This window comes from Homo sapiens, chromosome 17 (assembly GCF_000001405.40).
Source record: "Homo sapiens chromosome 17, GRCh38.p14 Primary Assembly".
Classification (NCBI taxonomy): domain Eukaryota; kingdom Metazoa; phylum Chordata; class Mammalia; order Primates; family Hominidae; genus Homo; species Homo sapiens.
The window spans coordinates 32,852,252-32,868,633 of NC_000017.11; the positions used below are offsets into that span (position 1 = coordinate 32,852,252).

General features: G+C 39.3%; 1 protein-coding gene across 6 annotated transcripts in view; it reads right to left on the reverse strand.

Moving 5' to 3' along the window:
* Positions 1–16,382, reverse strand: part of MYO1D (myosin ID) — a 384,603-nt gene that overhangs the window by 359,730 nt on the left and 8,491 nt on the right. The window lies entirely within an intron of this gene.

Genomic DNA, 16,382 nt, shown 5'->3' on the forward strand with positions numbered 1-16,382 from the left:
AGTAGCTGGGACTACGGGCACATGCTACCACACCTGGCTAGTTTTTGTATATTTTGGTAGAGACGGGGTTTCACCATGTTGACCAGGCTGGTCTCGAACTCCTGACCTCAGGTGATCCACCCACCTCGGCCTCCCAAAGTGCTGGGATTACAGGCATGACCACTGTGCCTGGCCAAAATGTAAAGTTTTACATTTGTTTATGTCTTGTAGCCAAGTTATTCTACTTCTAGGAATCCATACCAAGAAGAATTGTGATCTTAGAAAATAATTCTCATACAGACATATTAAATGCAATGTTACTTATAATACTAATATGCTACTATGCTTGAATTAATGGTAAATAGGGTGCAAAATTGTCTGTAGAATGTCGTCTCAACTATGTGGCAAATACATGCATAGTTTTTTCCTAACAGTGACTTTCTTGGGGAATGAGAATTGAATTATGGGTGAATATTATTATCTTATTGTCTTTATATATTTCTATATTTTTCAATTTTTCTACAAGAATCATGTATTTATAAATTTAGATAAAAAAAGAAACAATTTTGAGAAACAAACCAGAGGTCCAAAAGACCTTTTTGTGAAAGATGGTATTTACCTTCACTTCTCACTGTATACATTCTCTAATAAGGTAATCTCATATACTTCAAAAGCATCAAATGTCATCATATACAGATGACTGTAACACCTATGTCCTGACTACACACCACTCTAATCTGCTTCAAAACTGTACAGTCCAGTACTTCCATCTGGCTACTAGACAATTCCATGTGATGACTCGCAAGAACAATAGCCTCAGCCTGTTATCTTACCTTCTAACCCACACTCCAAATTTTCTTTCCTCTTGCATCTCTACTCTTTGTAAACAGCACCATCGAAATCAAATACCAAAGCCAATCAATTCTACCTTCTCAACAGATATGAAAACCACGCCTCTGTGTCTCTCTTCCCACTTTCTCACTAGTCTCACTTGGACTCTTTCAACAATTTCCTAAATGTTCTCTCTACTTCCAGCTTCAGTCATGTGATTATATATCTCCTTCATTAACACCACAGTCTTCTAAAATGTAAATCTGATCAAGTCATTTCCCTAATTAAAATCCTTCAATGGCTCCCCATCACCACATAATAAAAAATCTTTAGCATAGGATTTGATGAATTTATTCTTATTCTATGGCCAACTTGCCAACTTCCTGCTCACACTTTAGTTCAAACATCTCCTTTGAAGCTTCCGTTTACCTCCCAGAAATAGTTGGATGCATCCTCCTCTGAGTTCCTGGGGCATGCCATCCATATCTCCATCACAGCATGGATTACACTGCTGTAATTATTTCCATGTCTGTCTTTCCCTATAGACCTGGATTACACAGGGGCAAGGGAAGGATTCTATTCATTTTTGTATCTCTAAAACCTAGCATATAGTTGATGGATAATTAACTGCTAATTGCTTAAATGAATGATTTGGCTCACAAACGAACAAAAAGTACATGATGGATTAACAAATTATGGATCTTTTTTTCCACACTTCTGAACCAATGCTCTAGAATCAATATATGCAAGATGGCAAATTTACCCAATAAATTTGTCAATAAATTATTGAAACAAACAGTAAATTCAACATTAGGAAGCATGGTATCTGCTTCAAGTTCAAACAACTGTCTCGCAGTGATATTTAAAGTACGCACATTTTAAACTTAATTATTAGAATCTTCCCCCAACCTCTTATTTCCTCTTTCTCAGGAATACACTTGAAAGTCACCTTTCATAGCTACTGATTTCAAATATAGGCAAAAATTATCTTAGTTTCCTAAAAACAGAATGAAAATTCAAATACTTTTTTTACTAGCAATATCAACAACTTCAGCATACTGGAATCAGTCCAAACTAAAGAAAAATAAAATCTCCTTTTCACTCCACGGAAAGTTTCTTTTACATTAATTGCAAGCATAGGCAATAGGTAACCCTTGGGAATTTTAGCTTATTAATCAGAATCATCATTAAGATCTAACTCATAAGAGCTTACATGAAGGAATAAAAATGGATCCTGGCAGAGTAGACTAGTAAAAATTTATGAAACTCTGAAAAACAGATCTCTTCCTTACTTAGCCATTCAGAATTCCTCACAAATGAGTCACCTTCCTCCAAGAAAAGCAAAGTTCCACCTGAAATAAACCTGAATGTGAAAAGCTTGCACATCTAAAGGAATCAACTTCAGTTCTTCTCTGGGCTAAAGGGAGAAATCATTGGCGAAGCCAATGGCAAACAACAAATAAGAAATAATTCTTGCTTCACTTTGGGATACATTATACACTTTATGCAGTGGTGACAGATTTAATTTTATTTAACAAGCTAACATCAGAATTAGTTTGTACTCCCTGTACACAGACCAACTGGGCCAGGTTAACACAGTAAAAACATTTATGGAAGTAAAAACATCCCATAAATGTGAAATTCTTGAAAGGCATCTGAGACTCAAAATAAAATTAGAAAGTGATTTGAGAAGTAATAAACACAGGGTAAAGGTTGAATAGGCACAATAAAGTCCGTAACTATAGCTACAGAATACATGAATTGAAAGTAGAGAGCTGGAAGTAGAGTTTCCTGGAATGAGGGAACTGGATGAATCTGCACGCTTTAACTGTGGTCCCTATGAAGATGCCAACATATGATATACAAATGTGTATGTGTACATGTGTGAGTGTAGCTTCACTCACACACGCACACATCCCATATTTGGCAGTTACTCTTGCAGTCTCTGCAAATCCACGAAGTCATGACACACCTTCAACTAACAATAAAATTGTTGGTTCCATCCCCATTGGCTGCAATGAGGTTTATGATGCCATATGTAAGGTCAAAGGATTGCTACAAACCTTTAATTGCTTGCTGATTTTTGTACTGTTTCCTCCATGATTTCCTTGAGGACTCCTTGTGGCCTTTTTTAAAAACACACTTTTATTGAAGTATAACATTCATACATAAGAATGTACACATCTTTAGTACACGTAACCACTGCCTGTGCCAAGACTGTTCCCGGCACCCCCAGATACCCTCCTTTAGTCTCCTCCTAATTACTGTCCCCTCTCTCTTCTCCAAAAATAACTATTATCCTGACTTCTTACACCATAGATTAGTGTTGCTTGTTTTTGAATTCTATATAAATGAAAGCATAGAGTACGTATTGTTTTCTGTCTGGCTTCTTTTGCTCAATGTTATGATTGTGAGATTAATTCATGCTGATGTATGTAGCTGTAATTCATTCACCTTTGTTGTCATCTAGCATTCTATTGTATGAATACAATTTATTTTTCCATCCCACTGTTGATGGACATTTGTGTTTTTTCTTAGGTTTCGACTCCTACTCCTACATCTAACATAGTACTTTCCCCCTTTATTTCTACACTGCAGAAGCTGCAGGTCTAGTATTATTTCTTGCATGCCTAATATCATTCATTCACTTAAAAAAATCTTTGGCAACTATTACAAATCAAAATAGGTCTGTAGAAGCCAAAATAAATGGAGAGGAGGTCACAACAGAGTAAACAATACATGTTGTGAAACATACTCATCTCTGGAACGCACAGCACAGGGCTCTTTGGATGAGGTTGTCTGAAGCACTAACTCATGGATCCATGCTATGATAGTCTGTAGGACTAGCTTTCATTGGCTGAGAGTATATAGTCATTCTTATTCCCTTGTTCTTCTTTTACTCTCATTTTTAAGGCAGGCATTTCAGAATGACAGCATTATAATGACGGTACCGAATTTTGCAGCTTTAAACAAAATGTATCTTAGTTGCCATCAATCAGAATGTGCATGCAGATGCTATTCTTGGATGATTTTTTTTTTCTTTTTGAAATAGTATAGACCACACAGCAGCTATACTATGGTCAGTGAGACCACCCTGCCTGGGAACACAAAGACTTCTGTTGTATGAGGGAGAGATATGGACAATTTCCACAAAAAGCATAGGAGCCTTCATCCTCTTCATGTCTGCTGCTCCAGATTCCAGCGCTTCACATCTCCTCAGACATCTCATCCTTTGCAGAAGACTCTCTGTCCTCTCAAATGTCTTTCTCTCTCTACGGCCTCCTTCCCATCATTACCTATTCACACTCAACTCTCTTGGCTTAAAAAGTAGCAGAAAAACAAAAACCTGTAGCTATGGTCTTCTCTCCTTTCCAACACACTTCTTGAAAGCAATATCACTCAGTCTCTAGTTGTTCACCCCTACTGACTAACCCACTACAAACTGTTTTCCACCTCTACCTCTCCACTGAGATCACCCTAATGAAAGTCATCAATGCCCTCTTGGATGCTGTATTTAATGGACACCTCTTCATCCTTCTCTTCCTTGGCCTTTCTCAAGTGTGCAACTTTGCTGACCCCTCTCTTCTCAACTTCTGTGATATCAGACTTTCCTGTTTTCTTCCAACCTCCATGGACACTCCTCTTCAGACTCCTCTCAGGGTCCTTATTATTCTGACTGTCCCTTAAATACAGATCTCTTTGAAGGTTCAATCCTTGGCCCTTTTCTCACATTTTATGCTCATTTCTGATCATCTAAATCTCAGAGGCATGTTCTATGAGCACTTTGATCTCAACATGAGAAGAGGTACTGGGAAATATCCTCCTTTTTCCAATATTCTTCTCGATATTCTACACATACAGTCATCCCCTCCCCCCAAGTCTGTATCATTGCTCTCTATTCCTTTCCATATGTATGAAGCAGGGGTAGCAGAAATGTCAAGCACTTTGAAGTCCTGTCAGTCTGGCTTCAAATTCAAACTGCTTCTTAATCAGTTATGTGACTTTGGCAAAGCCATCTTCTTTCTCTGTAAACACGTGTTTCATACCTGTATAACACCTATCTTGTAGGGTTGAATAGATTATAAGAGATTAATGAATGAAAACCACCTAACACTGCACCTGATGATGCCTAGTAGCTGCCCCAATAATTAGTTTCCTTCCCATTTTCCATTTTATGGAATCTAATCCTGTCTTCCCAACTGTAATGAATTTAAGGCAGAGCTAATCCTTTAAGAATCCTTTGGCCGGGCACGGTGGCTCATGCCTGTAATCCCAGCACTTTGGGAGGACGAGGTGGGCAAATCACCAGGTCAAGAGATAGAGACCATCCTGGCTAACACGGTGAAACCCCATCTCTACTAAAAATACAAAAAATTAGCTGGGCGTGGTGGCGGGCACCTGTAGTCCCAGCTACTCAGGAGGCTGAGGCAGGGGAATGGCGTGAACCCAGGAGGTGGAGCTTGCAGTGAGCCGAGATCGCACCACTGCACTCCAGCCTGGACGACAGAGCAAGACTCCACCTCAAAAAAAAAAAAAAAAAATAGACTCCTTTAACCCTATCAGACTGGTCTTCTCACCGTCCCTGAACATGTCACAACCATTCACAGAGGCACCCCTGCATGGAATGCTCTCCCTTGCCATTCTTACTTCATGCATACCTAAGTCTTATTCACATTCCAGCATTCAGCCCAATCCCTTAATCAATAAAGGCCTTCCTTAACCACCAAAGCTCAGACTCCTCAGAAATTTTCTCCACATGTGAACTGTAGAATATTGCTACTAATCATCAGGCATTTATTATATGCTACTTTCGGGGGTTACATATCTTTTCATTCCATTTATCTCCAATTATATCATTATTCTTGGAACGAATTATATGTAGTCCTCAGTATACACAGTTTCTAGCAAAAAGCTTTAAGTAATACCTGTTGATTGGTAATGTTAATTGTTAATTTGTAATAACTGAGAGCATAACATCATTTAATATTTTCAACTGTTCCTTTAAAATATGCATTTAGACAACTGGAATCCTAGAATGTATGACTTTAGAGGCCACATAGACCAATATTCCAGATGCACAACATCTCTTTACAAGAACCTAATGAGTGAACCTTTAACTCCAGTTTCAATAAGTTCACATGACCAGAAACTCATTACCTTCTTTGGGAACCATTTGATGTCTAAGTAGCAGTTCCAAAATACAACTATCAATATCAGGAGATTAACATATGATATATTGCTAAGATTTAATTCTTGAACCCTATTCAAATTCTACCAAATGCCCCAATAAATGTCCCTTATAGCAAAAGTATACAGTTCAGCATCATGCTTCACCTTTAGTTGTTATGTCTTGTTATTCTCGTTGCTTCTAGAATACTTCCTCAGTCTTTCTTGGAATTTAACATTTTTGAAGGTTACAGGCTAGTTATTTTAAAGACTGGCCTTCAATCTGAGCTTGCTAGGTGTTTCCTCTGATTAGATTCAGGTTATGCATCTTTAGCAGGAATGTCACAGAGGAAGTAATGCTGTGTTTTTCTCATTGCACCTGATCACATGGTACATGATTCTGATTTGTCCCATTTCTGACATTGTTCATTTTGATCACTTCATTAAGGTAGCATCTGTCAGGCTTCTCCACTGTAACAATAATCTTTTTTTCTTTGGTATTAATTAATTGAACATTTTGTAGGGAGATACTAAGTAAATATCCCATTCCTCATCAAACTTCAAAAGTTATTTATTAGTTTATGTAAGTATGGACTCATGGTTTCCGATTTCATTTTGATGATTAAACTGACCCAGATTTAGCTAGTGGGTACTCACTTAAGCTGCTTTCTGAATCTGTTTTACATTTTTCATCATTCTTTGAGGATTTCCTTGCTTTCTGAAAATACAAGATGCCCCCGGCTCACCTTGTATTAATATTTACTTTGTGACAACCCTGGAATTACCCATTTCTCCACAAAGCCCTGATTTCTTTCAGTGGAGGATGGTACTAGGTGTGACCATTGCTATTATATTAAGGTATCACTGCTCCCAGGTCCTCACAATGGACAGAGATGGGGAATACATAATGTATGGATATAGGTGCATACGCATTCACATCTATATTTACTCCTCTGTCTAGCTGTATATTGAAAACTTCTGATTCCAATCTAACTACAAAGGGTTGACTGTACTTTTCCCCTTTCCATATTTGGAGCTCTCTTTTATGACCATGAGAAACCTGACTCCATTATCCTCAACATATTTACTTGTTTGTCAATCTCCCTGTTTATCACTTATCTCCCACTGCTGTCACCAAGACCATGCCAGCACGGATGCTCTTTTTCCATACTCAGGTCCTCATGCATTGGCCCCCTCTTTACTCAACTTGGCTCCAAACTCTAATCTGGGCCCCTGTGGCTCCCCTTCCCCTGGGATGGATGCCTACCTTGCTGTGCCCCAACCCAATGGCTTTAGGACCAAATTCTTCAGGAGGAAGAGAAGAAGAGGAAGAAAAGGAGCAGAAAGATAAATCTACATCTCTTCACTTTTACCCACTGGCATGAATTCTGTCTTTTGGGGTCTCCCAGAATAAACATAATCAATTCATACGCAAGTATTTGAGGTTGGTGTTCATGTCCTGTCTTGTTCCTTCAGTCATTCCTTAAATGACATGGTTTCAAGTACCCTCAACATATTGAGCATTCTTTTCTGAATAAATCCTATTCTGTCTACATAGCTTGTAAAACTGTGTAGAGGAGGCACTTTTGGTTGCCTATCCAATATCCTATTCTGCCCCTAAAATTCCTTCTTTCCTAAAAAAGCCTGACTTTGTTCAGGTATCCACTCCCTTCCATACAGCCACATGCTGCAGGAAATGAGAAATCTATCATCAGCGCCTGACTATTCCATCATGATAACCACATTCCTCTTACCAGTGGCAGGTTTAATAATGGGCATGTGACCAAATGCTAACTAATGTGACATGTAAGGAAGTCTTCTGGGGGGCTTCCTAAGCAAGGAGCACAACACAAGCAGAGAGCTCACTCTCCTTCCTCAGGACATTACTGTGCCTGGGTGAGATGCACAGAACTGTTGCAACGACCTTCCACCAGCTGAGGATGAAACCAGCACAAGAAGGGCAAAACCAAGGGAATCACAGACAAGTGGAGGCAGAGTCCTTAGGGACTGGCCAGAACCTCTCTTATCATTAGCCTTCTTGTTGTGTGAGATAACATGTTTCTTTTCTGTTTAAGCCAGTTTGGTCTGGTTTTCTTTTTAGCTGCCCCCAACAGCATTCTGACTGATATAGAGTGAAGCTAGCAACCACACACCCCTCCAGGAGAGGTGTGATAAGCTAGGGAACTTCCAAGTCCCTGTATTTCCTCTGACATAGCCCAAGTCAATGGTGACACATAACATAGACTACTAAGACCTCCATCTTTCTCACACCTACAACAATGTTATTTTGTATTTGTATTGTTAAATTGTTGCCCTTCAATAGAGAACTAGAGGTTTACTTCTTATTTACATTGTAAGCTTTTCCATTGTTTCAACTAGTTCAGGTCTTTTAAGTGAGAATAATAAAGGAAATTGAAGAGTTGCTACTTGATTGCAAAGCAAAAGAGCTAGGAATAGGACAAAAACCGAATAATAAACACAAAGCTAGGAGACAGATTTTTGCCCCCGTAGTAAATGTGCCACTAGACTAGTAAAAAGTCCTGACTTTCTGTGTTTCTAACTTCATGCATCTATACAACAGTGAGGAACCTCAAGATTCCCTTCCGGCATTAAAATTCTATGACTCAAGAGACTTCATCAGAGAATTCATGGCTCAGAATTTCTCTGGCTTGAAGCATAAAATGAAGAAAAGTAAATCCCCTCAAATCAGTGTTAGCCCATTAGTCATTATCAAGATTCACTTATTTCAAATCAACAAAACACTGCCCTAGGGCTACCTACTCCAAGAAACAACTCTGTTATACTATAGGGATCACGTCTGGGCTGTATTGGTGTTTATTCTTTTTTTTTTTTTTTTTGGAAACGGAGTCTCGCTCTGTTGCCCAGGCTGGACTGCAGTGGCGCAACCTCAGCTCACTGCAAGCTCCGCCTCCCAGGTTCATGCCATTCTCCTGCTTCAGCCTCCCGAGCTGGGACTACAGGCACCCACCACCACACGCAGCTAATTTTTTGTATTTTTAGTAGAGATGGGGGTTTCACCATGTTAGCCAGGATGGTCTCAATCTCCTGACCTCGTGATCCACCCGCCTCAGCCTCCCAAAGTGCTAGGATTACAGGTGTGAGCCACCGCACCTGGCCTGTATTTATTCTTAGCAGAGGAAATGTGTAGAAAACAATTGCCAAATCTGCACCCTATTCACGAATGTGACAAAAAACAAACATTCAGCCATCTCCCAGACCAGAGAGATTATAGGAGCTAAATGAAAGAAAGCCCAGATAGTTAAAAATGTGTTGTCACCCTGATGTAAAGCCCTTCAATTGCTCCCCAACATACTTAAATTTTGAATCTTGGGATTTTATGTCCCAAGACCCTTCCGCAAAGTGTGGTCCCTGATGAGTGCTCCATCTTCACCTGCCCCTACTTTGCCTGCCCCACTCTGCCCAAAGACTCTAGCCTCACTGGATACCTTTCAGTTTCAGAAACTGAGCCTATCTAAAAATATGTCTCGGCCAGGTGCCACGGTTCACACCTGTAATTCCAACACTGGGAGGCCAAGGCAGGTGTGGATCACCTGAGCTCACAAGTTTGAGACCAGCCTGGGCAACATGGCAAAACCCCGTCTCTACAAAAAATATAAAAATTAGCTGGGCATAGTGGTACACGCCTGTAGTCCCCGCTACTCGGGAGGCTGAGATAGGAGAATAGCTTGAGCCCAGGAGGTGGAGGTTGCAGTGAGCTGAGATTGTGCCACTGCACTCCAGCCTGGGCAATAGAGCCAGACCTTGTCTCAATAAATAAATAATCAATAAAAGTTATGTCTCTGTCTTCTCTCTCTTCCCTATCTGATTGTTCCCCCGCTCCCCACCTCTCCCCCAACAGGCACATATTCCGCATCCTTCTGATCTTGCTTAAAGCTATCTTCCCCATAAAGTGCCTTCCCTGTGACACACCCACATACTTGGACACGTCATTTCCATTTCCCCTATGGGGGAACTCTGCTCTTTCTCTTCATAGCACTTATTACTATTTGTAGTTATCCTTTTGTTTGTTTACTGGTTTAGTATATTCCCCTTGCTGGTTTATCAGTTCTATGAGAACAAGAACCGTGTCTATCTGGGTTGCTCCTGCATATCCAGAAAAGAATAAAGACAACGTGGCTGCCACCATACTTTCAAAGGCACCTTAATGGCATGGAAAAGCATTTAAGATACCATGCTATGTGAGAAAACAGTTTACAAAACTATATGTTGTATAAGCAGGAAGATGCCAAAGTTTTGAATATGTACATTTTTTATATGTCTAGAAAAGACTGTAAAGGAAATAAATCAAGGTATTAACAAGGAGGGTGGGATTATACAGTTTTTATGGATAATCTGAGGACAGAAAAATACATACATTGTAGCTAAAACTGGATAACCATAACCATCGGGTGAAAAAATGGAAAACTTGTTGTAAGGATAAAGAATAAAGTGTGATTATCAACGATTAAATTGATTTAATAACCAAAACAGAACTAAGAACACTGACTATTTGGATAAGTTGTAATACATTTGTTAATATGTCAGTCAGCTCACATTACAGTGATAGTCCATTTAGTTTTAATAGAACACAACTGTGGAGTGAAAAACGTTAGCCTAGGACAGTGGCTCCGAGCCTGGCTGCATATGAGACTCACCTGGGCACTAAGGAGGCTTAATAAATCACCATCTCCAGAAGACAGAGTCCGGGGAATCTGCGTATTTTAAAAGCTGGGTGATCATGACACAAAGCTGGATTTGGGAACCCCAGCCTAGGGTAAATCAAGAAGTTGAAGAAGAGGTTTCTTTTCAGTAAGAGTTTCAGATAAAATAGGAACCTGAGAGGTGGAGATGCAAACAGTAACAGATTCTGCCAATAGCAGCTGCCTACCACAAGTCAACAAGCAGTCATAAATTGCACACTGTGTGGAAAAATGCACTCATCATGTTTGGTTTGTTCAACCACACAAACAATTCAAATACCAAGGGCAGTAATATGTTTTAGAGTAGCACCTTACCTACTTAGAACTCAGTTTGGCCTACTTGCCTTTCCAGCCAAACACAGCAAAGCAATAAAAAATACCTCTCAGCAGAGAAGATAAAAAACAGACATCTTAAAACTCTTGCCCTACGACTGATATACCCAAGGTAACCCCTCAGTCTTCATTACAACATATTAACTCCTTTTTTATACACCCTTCTAATGAGCTCGGCTGACAGCCAAAACCCAGAGAGGATTACCTTTGTAAATTAAGAGGGGAAAGGGAATTCACGGGGAGGCACACAGAAAGCAACGATAGAAACTGAACCATATATTTTTAAAAGTTAATTTAGATCAACTTAGTGTGGAACAAAACATTACAAATATGACAGTAAATACCAAGGACATGAAAACAACTTTTTATAACTACAGTCATGATGATCTAAGTCATTAAGAAAAAGAATTAAATCACATTCTTTATATTCTGCTTAAGGAAGCAAAAATGAAAAGGCACGAACATCTGAGTGCCCTCTATGTGTAAAGAACAATAAACAACCCAGCTATTATCTCATTTGATATAATAATCTTGTAGTGCAGAAATCAGTCTCATTTTAAGACTGAGCCATTAAAGGCTCAGAGAACTGAAGTAGATTTTTTAAGTTTTACTGTAGAAGGTAGCCATAGCCATGTTGAACTTTGAATAACTGAAATATTTCCTTTGCTCATTATTTTATACCATACTGCCACTTTTAAAATAATTTTGGTTACAAACATTTCTTCCTTTTTTTTTTTTTTTTTTTTTTTTTTTTTTTTTTTTTGGTGTTTGCAAGAATAAAAGCCTTCTGGAAAAAAAATCATCTAAAACAGTTGTTTGCAAGCTGTTTTTCCAATGTGATAGCATTTTTTCCCAAATGACATATTCCTTGGAACCCCACTATGCAGGAGCAGAGCTGCTCTGTTAAAAGCACTAGAGTGCCAGGGCCTGAAGCCCTACTCCACCTCTACCTGTAATCCAAGACTGCTCCTCAGGCACCTCCATGACCCAGGACACGACAGATTACAGATTTTTTTTTAAAGCACCAATCTAAACAAGCTTAGTCCCTAGATTTGCTGTGTAAAGGCATGTCCCTTAGAAACACTTAGCAAATGACACAAAGCTATATAAAGGCATCACAATGCTGTGAAAAGTTTGGTAGTATGGTAAAATGTAGTTAACTGGCTAAGGCAAGCAACATCATGAGACTGCTCAAGATTACAGCACCACTAATGTTTCCTGCTTTGTTGTACGGTGTCTAGCTTCACATGTCTGAGTTCTACGAATGAAAAAAAAAAAAAAAAAAAAAAAGGAGAGAAATGTCTACCATTTCACAAAGGCCCAAAATCTATTTTAGTGGTTTTTCCAAGAGCAATGGTAATTTCATTTTTCCTGCATTACCAAAAACTGGAGTTATTACAGAAAAATCAGATTATATACATAAAATAGAATACATTAAAAAGCATACATAAAATATAGTAAATGCATAGTTCAGCCAAGAATCAAAGATGCAGAAGTACTATGCATTTATTTGTTTATTCCGTGATAGAGGTGAAAGTATTTTCTCCTTAATGCCTGGAAATAAGCCTTGGGAGATAAGACTTTGTCTTGCCCTTAGAACTTTGAGTGTAGAGGTAGGACATAAATATAAACCGATAGGAAAGGTTGAATGCAATTAAAAAAAACAGTTGTACTCACTGACATTTAAACTATTCTAGACATTTTTTGAATTGTTTATAGGTTTTTGTCTTAATAAGACGGAACACGGGATAAGATGGCAGAAACAGGTTAACTCAATCTCATTATCAAGGACTATCCTTATAATAAACTTAAAATGACCTAAATATCTGTAAAACCCAAAGCTGATATATGACCAATGATGGGGTTTATCCAAAATAAATATGTTGTTGGGTTTTTTTCATGGGATTTGACTTTTAATTGACTATAAAATTTATCTTGACTTTATACTGGACACAAAGCAACAGTCTGAGATAGAACCATTTGGGATAACCCGGCGTTGCTACAGATGATCCTCTATTGTACAAGTTACTCAAAGCCGACTTTGTGGTCAGAGGCGAAATTTGTTTGCTTCATTGTTTTAGATTAAGCCATTTTTTTTTGACAAATTCATTTGCTTCTTCTGCATATGTGAACCTTGTGAATATACAGTAAGTGGTAATGGGTTTTTTCCCAAGACTTAACAATATAACTGTGAGAGATATGAGGAGAGGAGGAATAAAAGGAAAGCTGTGTTTGTTCCTTGGTGTGTTTATCCATCTATTCCAGGAGGTTCTTTTAGAACTCTGAACTGGCCTGTGGCTTTTTCTGAAAAACCTATGTTCAGGAGTAAACAATCTTTTTATTAAAGCAGAATAGCTTTACTAGAGTTAATGCTTTAATCTCATTAAAGTGAAATCCATTTCTATATTGTGTATCAAGGAGCAGAAATGTGGGAAAATAAAGGCAATCCCATGCTGGGATAATTGTAACTAGTCCCATGTGGGCAGCTGTGCCTGGAATACAAACTGGGATATCTTCAGGAATGAGGCTAGGACAATGAGGAGCCTGGAAGGTGGACAAAATATCAAGAGGAACTAGCAGATGTTCTTGATTCCCTTCTCCATCAACTGAAGTCACTTACTGGAACCCTTCACTTAAAAAATGATCTACTTTCCAAAACCAGACCATTCTATTTCAATAAGAATGTTGAAAACCATGATTAGAGTCATAGTCTGGCTCTCTAGGGTCTCTCTTTTTATTTTTCATTTTTTTACAGACAAGGTATCACTATATTGCCTAGGCTGGAGTGCAGTGGCTATTCACAGGCGTGACCATAGTGTCAAACCCATAGGCTTGAGCAATCCTCCTGCCTCAGCCTCCCCAGTAGCTGGGACCACAGGCATGGGTCATTGCACCTGGCTCCTCAGTAATGTCCCTTAAACCCAAATGTTAGGGCCACAGTATTCACCACACACACTGGGTGCTGTGTCTTGGAAGTTCTGTAATTGAGCATAAAATAAAAGAAGAAAAAAAAATTCTCTCTCTCTTCTAGACCCAAAGATAAACCAGAGACACAATTTTTAATTGAGCAAAGTTTTCGTCAGGTACCCTCCCCTCTCTGTCATCAGGACCTGCCTCCCCAAGAATGAACTAACCTTATACTACCTGCTGCCCGTCCCTTCCCACAAGGGTTCAGTTCTCTATCCCAGGTCTGCCGTATCCCTGAACAGTAACATACTGTAAAGTTATTTCTCAAAAATGAAATTCTCTATTCCTTATTCTAACTGATGCCACTGAGGCATGAGAAAGAAATTAACCAGACTGAGCAGATTTACACTAACATGCTTGTGCTGCATTAGAAGTATTTGACTTTCTAAGGGGATTCTTATCAACCTAACTCAATCTCTAGTTGGGAGAATTTGGGGCAGCATAAGACAAGAATGAAAGAAGTGCAGACAATGTGGGGGAAAATATTTTTGAGCAATGGAAGCTGGCTAGCAGCACAGCCAGCCCACGCATGCTTAAAGTGAGTGGAGAGAGAAGAAAAGAAGGCCAGGATGGCTCAGGCCACAGGGCAGGGGGAGGAAGGACTGTTTCCAAATGAAAGACTATCTCTACTTCAACAAGGGTCTGCTGACATTCTACCTCTTCCATAGGGCATTTTTTACCTACTCCCAATGCCATTTTTTCTTTTTCTGAATTCCCTCATAATATAGTACATACATATAGACAGCTCTTAATTATATTGTCATCAGTTCTCTTTTCTAAAAATATGATATATTGATTCCTTCTCTGTAGGAAGCCCTTAAAAGAATGGATTGTCTTGGGAGGCCAAGGCGGGTGAATCATGAGGTCAGGAGTTTGAGACCAGCCTGGCCAACATGGTGAAATCCCATCTCTACTAAAAATACAAAAATGAGCTGGATGTGGTGGCAGGTGCCTGTAATCCCAGCTACTCGGGAGGCTGAGGCAGGAGAATTGCTTGAACCCAGGAGGCGGAAGTTGCAGTCAGCTGAGATCACGCCACTGCACTTCAGCCCAGGTGATAGTGTGAGACTGTCTCAAAAAAAAAAAAAAAAAGAATTGTCTGTGCTATTCATTTGAGCTCAATCATATTTCACTTTATATTGATCCATTTATTAAGGTATCTCTTACTCCCAATTAAGCTATCCCTCAAAGAGTAACTTTATTAAAAGTAACCCCCACCAAAGTACCCAACCCAGCACTAAGCACACTGTAAGAATTCAAGTAGTTGGCCGGGTACAGTGACCCACGCCTGTAATCCCAGCACTTTGGGAGGACAAAGCGGGCAGATCACCTGAGGTCAGGAGTTCGAGACCAGCCTGGCCAACATGGTGAAACCCTGTCGCTACTAAAAATGCAAAAATCAGCTGGGCATGGTGGCAGGCGCCTGTAATCCCAGCTACTCAGGAGGCTGAGGTAGGAGAACTGCTTGAACCCAGGAGATGGAGGTTGCAGTGAGCCGAGAGATCATGCCACTGCACTCCAGCCTGGGCGACAGAGCAAGACTCCGTCTCAAAAAAAAAAAAAAAAAAAAAAAAAGAATTCAAGTAGTTGCTAGCTTTAATACCAGGAGATTATATGAAAAACATATAGGGTCTATAGATAATGAGGAAATTGGTTATAGATTTAAAAAAAAAACAAAAAAAAAACTCTAGACTTAAAGTCTATTACCTAGCAATAGTGCCTAGATGTTACAAACCTTCACGGAGGCTGAGAACAGTGACATGCAGAATAAAATAGTTTAGAAATCTCTTAAATATGAATATATTTCATTTTCCAAAGAGTCTAAAACGATTTCTAGAAATTAAATAGTGATACCTGGAGGGAATGTGATTATGAGAATGCATAGGGTGATAGTTACAGAGTGAATTGGGAATAGCAAGGGCATTTTTGGTTCACAGGGCTGGACCAGGGAATGGAGCAGAGACAGAGGGGTACCCACTGAGTATCTACTATGCTTCAGCCACCACCATAGGTATTTGACACATATTTTAAATGTGCTATAATTTCACAAGAACACATCATCTTTATAGATGAAAAAACTGAGGCTCAAAGAAGCTAAGTCACTTGTCCAAAGTCACACAGGTGGTAGTAAAGGAACAAAGACAAGATTAAGGTCCAGATTTGTCTATTTCGTGTTCTTGCACTCTCTGCTAGGTAATCTGAATTCCCTAGTTTGCGCCATTGCAAACTTTCATCCTTGCCCCCCAAACAAAATCAAAACAAACAAAAAAGACAAAACTTTGTCTTAGTGAGGGAGGAAGAAATGACAAGGAAGAGATGAAAATATCTAGCTCTCTAGCAGTTATGGGGTCAGGGTAGGGAGGTGAGGCCATTCGGGAAGGATTC